This window comes from Homo sapiens, chromosome 6, assembly GCF_000001405.40.
Source record: "Homo sapiens chromosome 6, GRCh38.p14 Primary Assembly".
NCBI lineage: Eukaryota > Metazoa > Chordata > Mammalia > Primates > Hominidae > Homo > Homo sapiens.
In genome coordinates, this window is record NC_000006.12 from 170,083,042 (window position 1) to 170,089,422 (window position 6,381).

General features: G+C 57.8%; 1 annotated feature.

Moving 5' to 3' along the window:
* Positions 5,592 to 5,691: an enhancer, noted in NCBI's record as "active region_25466". NCBI's record gives its function as "activates an Ori minimal core promoter by ATAC-STARR-seq in GM12878 lymphoblastoid cells {active_cell/tissue: GM12878}" and the evidence as "EXISTENCE:reporter gene assay evidence [ECO:0000049][PMID:35858748]".

Here is a 6,381-nt window from a genome sequence, read left to right on the forward strand (position 1 = left end):
CCACCAGCCTGGACCCCCCCCACTCCCTCCGCACCACTGCCCAGAGAGATGGTCCCAAACCGTGGCCTCCTCGTCCTGAGAGGCGGGACTCACGTGGTTCACTCCCCCTGGGATCCTCACTGAAACTCTCTCTCCCTCCTTTTTGGTAATTAGACTAGTAGGTCTGTTTGATTTATATTTAAATTCCATCTTTGCTGTCAATTTTTATACGAGTGTTCTCACAAAGTGTGTACATAACCTGTGGAATATTCGAAGCCTTTGGGCCATTTGCAAACAGCACATTAGCCACACCCAGGTGGCGCAGACGCCCGGTGGACACCTACAGACCTGCTTCAAATGCACGGAGCCCCGACGTGAGCAGCTCACCGGGAGACAGTTGGCAATTTAACACTGATACTACGCAACGAGGGCCATGCGTGTTACAGGCATCTGATGGGAACTATTTTGGGTGACACATTTGACTTGGAGCATTTATTTTACAAGTTTCTAATTCTGAGTTTCTGGGAAGTGGCCGTTGTCAGGGACCAACGGCCTCCACAAGGGAGGCTGTCCTGACGCGTCATCCTGCTGTGTGGGTAGCTGGCACCATCTGGCTTCAACGCTGGCTCACAGGAGAGATTTTCCTCTCGGAGAATGAAGTTTAAACAGGATGAGACTCGCATGGCTCGACGGGGGGCAGCAGCATTCTCAGGGTCAGCTCAGGAGTAAAACGTGCAGCCTCACGGGTGGTGCTGAGGCTGTTCCGAGAGGCAAAGAGGAGTTCCGGGATTTGAGGGTTCCAGCAGGAAGGGGCTCTTAAGGCCTATGCATTGAAATAATCAGAGAGGAGTGTCCTCCATCGCAGGCCGACACCCTCAGACCGGCACAGCCCGCCCTCCTCGGACACCAGTGTCCCCTCGCACTAATGACAAGCCGCCCTCGTGACCATGTCACTGGCACCCACAGCTGTGTCTGCACCTAAAAGCAGGGGCCATATTTTTATGCATTAATTAGTGGATTGAAAACACAACTTCAGGTGGAGCTTGGCCTACCCCTGCTCTGGACCGTCAGAGTGTTGAGACCAGCACCAACTGTGGGCTGGAACTGTCTGATGCTTCTGTGTGTTAACTCACTCAGCCCCTCGAAAACCCTATGAGATGGGTCCTAGCATCTCCCCGTTTCACAGATGGGGAGACCAAGGCACACGAAGGCAAAGCAGACCCCTCAGAGGCCTCTGGCTGACGAACGGAAGAGCCGGGACTCAGATCCTGGACGTCTGACTCCGCATATGGGCGCCCCCAGCACCACCAAGCGTGTCTGCCTCTCAACCTGCAAGGGACATCAGTAATTCACGCCATTTTAATACAGGATTGAGTGATCTAACAGAGGTTGGTGGAGAACTGATGTGGGCAACATAGTCCTTGGGAGAATCACTGAAAAAAAGGCTGAATGTGGCCGGGCACGGTGGCTCACGCCTGTGATCCCAGCACTTTGGGAGGCCGGGCGCAGTGGCTCACTCCTCCAATCCCAGCACTTTGGGAGGCCAGGGACGGTGGCTCACGCCTGCAATCCCAGAACTTTGGGAGGCCAGGGACGGTGGCTCACGCCTGCAATCCCAGCACTTTGGGAGGCCAAGGCGAGCGGATCACTTGAGGTCAGGAGTTTGAGACCAGCCTGGCCAACACAGTGAAACCCCATCTCTACTAAAAATAAAAAAATTAGCCGGGCATGGTGGGGTGCCTGTAATCCCAGCTACTCAGGAGGCTGAGGCAGGAGAATTACTTGAACCCAGGAGGCAGAGGCTGCAGTGAGCCAAGATCACGCCACTGCACTCCAGCCTGGGTGACAGAGTGAGACTCCCAGACAACAGGAGAAGCAGCAAATCACACAGGAGCAGGGAGACGGCGGCCTCAGAAGATGCAGCTCACACCGGGGCCTGAGAGAGAGTCTGGGTGAGAAAGAGGACGGGCATCCCATGGCCACCTGGAAGGCAGGAGGGTGAGACCAGGGTCATAAAGGAGAGAGGCCATTCATTTACGACAAAGCCCAGAGAGTTTCCCTGGGTGCGTCTGAAGATGGGAGCAGAAAGTGGAGCCTTAGAAATAAGAATACCTGAGCCCAGAGGGAAGTGCCCCCAAGAACTCATGTCACCCCAGAAGGAAAATAGGGCATTGGTCACCTCTGGGATGGTGCGAGGATATCTGCAGTGAGTAACCAGATATCTTCAGTGTTAAAGGAAAGTCCCCAGATTTAAGCGTCTGTGTGTGTTGTGTATATTCAGTTAATTATACACCTTACGCAATGCTGGGGTGAGAGGCCTGAATTCCAGTATTCCCGGGAGCTCTGGGGAAGTCACCCTTCCAACGATTTCTCCTGCTGTTTGGGACCAGCTCTGCTCATGAAGGTGCCAGCACCATCCGTCCCTGAGTTCATGTCCATGGCTGAGGGTGACTCCAAACACTGCCAGTGGGTTCTTCTTCCCGACTTTGCCGTTTCACTGAGTTAAAGGTCTGGCATTTACCAAAACCATCTGCCGCAACCCAGCCAATCTTCCAGAAGTGTCCTGATCTCTTCCTCTGTTGAGTATTTAAAAGTGAAGCACATTTGTGTGGACTCTCCCCAAGGCGGAGCTGCCCGAGTGCTGGGCTGCCCTGATGAGCTGGTGCTGAGACAGAAGCGGCTTTGCGGACGGCTGCACGGGCTGTGTGTTCTGCTTCCGAACTCTATCAGGTGAGCGTGGAAGACACTTCCATAGACACAGGGAGGTGCTTTACTGCTGAAGGCGACTCCTGCATGCAAACACGGCAGCATTATCTCCACGTAGAGGGAACACAGGACGCTCAGAGGGAAATTCTCGGAAAGTGGGGTGTCTCCAGCTCCTCCTTCCAGGCCTCTTCTCAGCCGTGAGGCTGCGCTCTGGGCCTCAGTCCCACCCACTGCACCGTCCTCCCCACCGCGGCATCCATGCCGGCCCCGCACCTGTCAGGATATGGGGGAGCCCTGGCCCTGAGGGCTTTCTGTGGCTCCCCAGGTCCATGTTTCCATTCTCTTTGCTCCCACCGTTTTTTCTCATGTTCTCCTTTTCACACAATATTTATTGTCTTGTCCCCTCTGTTCTGTCAAGAGCCCAGACTGTGTAACACACATTGCCTGGCCCAGAGCCCATTCGATAAATATGTGTGGAAAAAAAGAACCAAACAAGGACTCAATACCTCTCCTGCCTCTTCCATGAAATCATTGTTTTGATTCGAGAATAAAAGATGTTTGGATTAAAATGTTTCTTGAATTTTTCCATTCCTAGCCTCTTGCAAGATCATTGTGCTAGATTTTGAATGACCTACTTTTCCTTCTCAGGCCCAAGACTTCAAGAGACTATTGTGGTAACGGAGCCACAAATTAATCTTTCCATTTTCTGAAAATAGAATTCTACTTACATAAGTTTAAAAAAAATTGTTGGTGGTTAGAACAATATCATTAATATCATTTTTATTTTTCAATTAAATGATTCCAACTGTCTTCATGATAATTATTTATATTTATAGAACATCTTAAAGGGTACATTTCACACAGAAAAACACCACGTCCAGTCTCTGTCCAGCCCATGGAGGGCGACCAGAGGTGATGGTTGGCGTGGGCAGCAAGAAGCCAGGGAGGACCGAGCGGGGAGCAGGCGGGGAAGGCAGAAGGGGCGGCAGGAGGGATAGGGCAAGCCGTGGGGAGGCAGCCACCCCGTAGCAGGAGAGGCAGGGAACGCCACGTCGCTGGTACAAATGGAACAAACTCCAACGCCCGTCTAGAGTTGAAGCTTCTGGGCAGAAGGGAGCTTTATGATCCACGCCCAACCCATAGGCCCGCTCCCGCCATGCCCCCTCCTCTGGGAAAGCCGCCTGGAGTGTCCACCGCAGAACGAGTGCTGCGCTCAGCAGCACCAGGACCCGCAGGGCCCGCACTCCCCTCCGCACGAAGCTCACTGTCCACGAGGAAAGACGAGGAAATGCGGGGAAAGGAGGGCACGGGACAACACGTCCAACTGTGTAGAGGAAAGGGACCTGCGTGGGAAGGAAGGGGCAGGGGAGGCTTCGAGAAAGAGCCAGGACCGTGTAGTTGGACCCTTGGAGGGAGCTACACGTGGCCAAGGGTGCAGGGCGGCCCCAGGCTGGGGAACAGCACCGGCCAAGCTCGGGGAAGGGCGTGGACAAGGCCGGCCCGTGGAACGGAAGGGAGCATCGCACTGTTAAAAGGTCATGAAACGTCCGGGAGCCTCAGCAGGGGAGGCCGAGTGTGGAGGTTTAGAGGAAAGGAATGAGGCTGAGGCTGCCAAGGAAAAGCATGGTGTGGGGGGACCCGGAGGCCCCGCGGTGGGAGGAGCGTGGTGTGGGGGGGGACCGGGAGGCCGTGGGGTGGGAGGAGCGTGGTGTGGGGGGACCCGGAGGCCGTGGGGTGGGAGGAGCGTGGTGTGGGGGGACCCGGAGGCCGTGGGGTGGGAGGAGCGTGGTGTGGGGGTACCCGGAGGCCGTGGGGTGGGAGGAGCGTGGTGTGGGGGGACCCGGAGACCCTGCGGTGGGAGGAGCGTGGTGTGGGGGGACCCGGAGACCCTGCAGTGGGAGGAGCGTGGTGTGGGGGGGGACCGGGAGGCCGTGGGGTGGGAGGAGCGTGGTGTGGGGGGGACCCGGAGGCCCTGCGGTGGGAGGAGCGTGGTGTGGGGGGGACCCGGAGGCCGTGGGGTGGGAGGAGCGTGGTGTGGGGGGAGGAGCGTGGTGTGGGGGGACCCGGAGGCCCCGCGGTGGGAGGAGCATGGTGTGGGGGGGGACCGGGAGGCCGTGGGGTGGGAGGAGCGTGGTGTGGGGGGGACCCGGAGGCCGTGGGGTGGGAGGAGCGTGGTGTGGGGGGGACCCGGAGGCCGTGGGGTGGGAGGAGCGTGGTGTGGGTGGGGACCGGGAGACCCTGCGGTGGGAGGAGCGTGGTGTGGCGGGAACGGGAGGCCGTGGGGTGGGCGGCAGCACAGGTTGTGGCTGAGCTCGGGGCCGGGGCAGCGGCGCTTGCCCTTGGGAGGGAGAAAACAGGCAAAGGACAGGATGTGGTGAGCGTCGGCCCGCGAAACCCCGCGGCCACAGCCTGAGGAAGTCTGTAGACAACAGGCTCGGCACGAAGGAGAAAGAGCTGACGTGGCTGTGAGGTGCCGCTGGTGGGAGCAGAGCTGGGAAGGGAGCCTGGGTGTGACTGTGGGGCTGGGAGTGAGCGGGGAGAGGGACAGGAGACGGGAAGGGGCTGCTGGAGCGCAGGAGGACGGCCAGAGGTGCGCGGGCCCCCACCGCAGCCCCAGCTCCCAGATGGTGCACGGACCAACCACTCAACAATCAGCCTGTGAGTTTTCGGAAGAACAGAGTCTTGGGCCACGGAGCCAACAGGTTCCTCCTGCAGGTGGCCATTTACGCTACACTCACCCCAAGGCCCCAGCCAGGAGCGTGGCCTCAGTGCAAGAAGCCACGGGGCCTAACACGAGCCACACCGAGAGGTTTCTGGGCCTGCAGGTAACCCTGCTGTACCCCCCTAGCCTCTGGCATAAGTGTTTGTGAGGGGCCTTCGGGGGCTGGTCCCCGTGCAGGCTGACCGCGGTGGAGTTTGCTCAGTGTGTGATGAGGCACATGTGTGTACGTAACTGAGCCCACGTGTGAGGGCGAGGACCATCCGTGCCGGGGCCTCCTGTTGAGCAGCCACGAGACATCACCTCACCCGGCACATGGGCGGCCGCTTCCTCTTGGGCCTGGAATCCTGACAGCCAAGGCTTTGGGGCCGTGCCTCGCCCTCTTTCACAGGCATCTGGCCCTGGACTGTCCCCGCCGGGCGGCAGTGTAGGCTCCCCGGGGAGGGGCAAAGGTCCCACTTGGTGCAGGCAGCTCTGCACGTCTGATGAGACACCAGCTGGGCTGGGTGCGGTGGCTCACGCCTGTAATCCTAGCACTTTGGGAGGCCGAGGCGGGCGGATTGCTTGAGCTCAAAGTTAGAGACCAGCCTGGGCAACATGGTGAAACCCTGTCTCTAAAAAAAGTTAGCCAGGCGTGGTGGTTGGTGCTATAGTCCCAGCTACTCAGGAGGCTGAGGCAGGAGAATTGCTTGAACCTGGGAGTTGGAAGTTGCAATGAGCCGAGATGGAGCCACTGCACTCCAGCCTGGGGGGACAGAGCGAGACTCTATCACCAAAAAAAAAAAAAAAAAAAAAAAAAAAAAAAAAAAAAAACTGCGATCTGAGGCTTCCTCCTGCTGCTGGCTTCCCCTGGGGACTCACTGAGCCAGGGTCTCCATGCATCACGGCATCGGTGGCAAAATCTCACCAGCACTCAGGCAAAGCAAAGCTCACCTCCTCCCTCCTGAGCTGGCTGCACACGCCTCTGCTTCCATTTC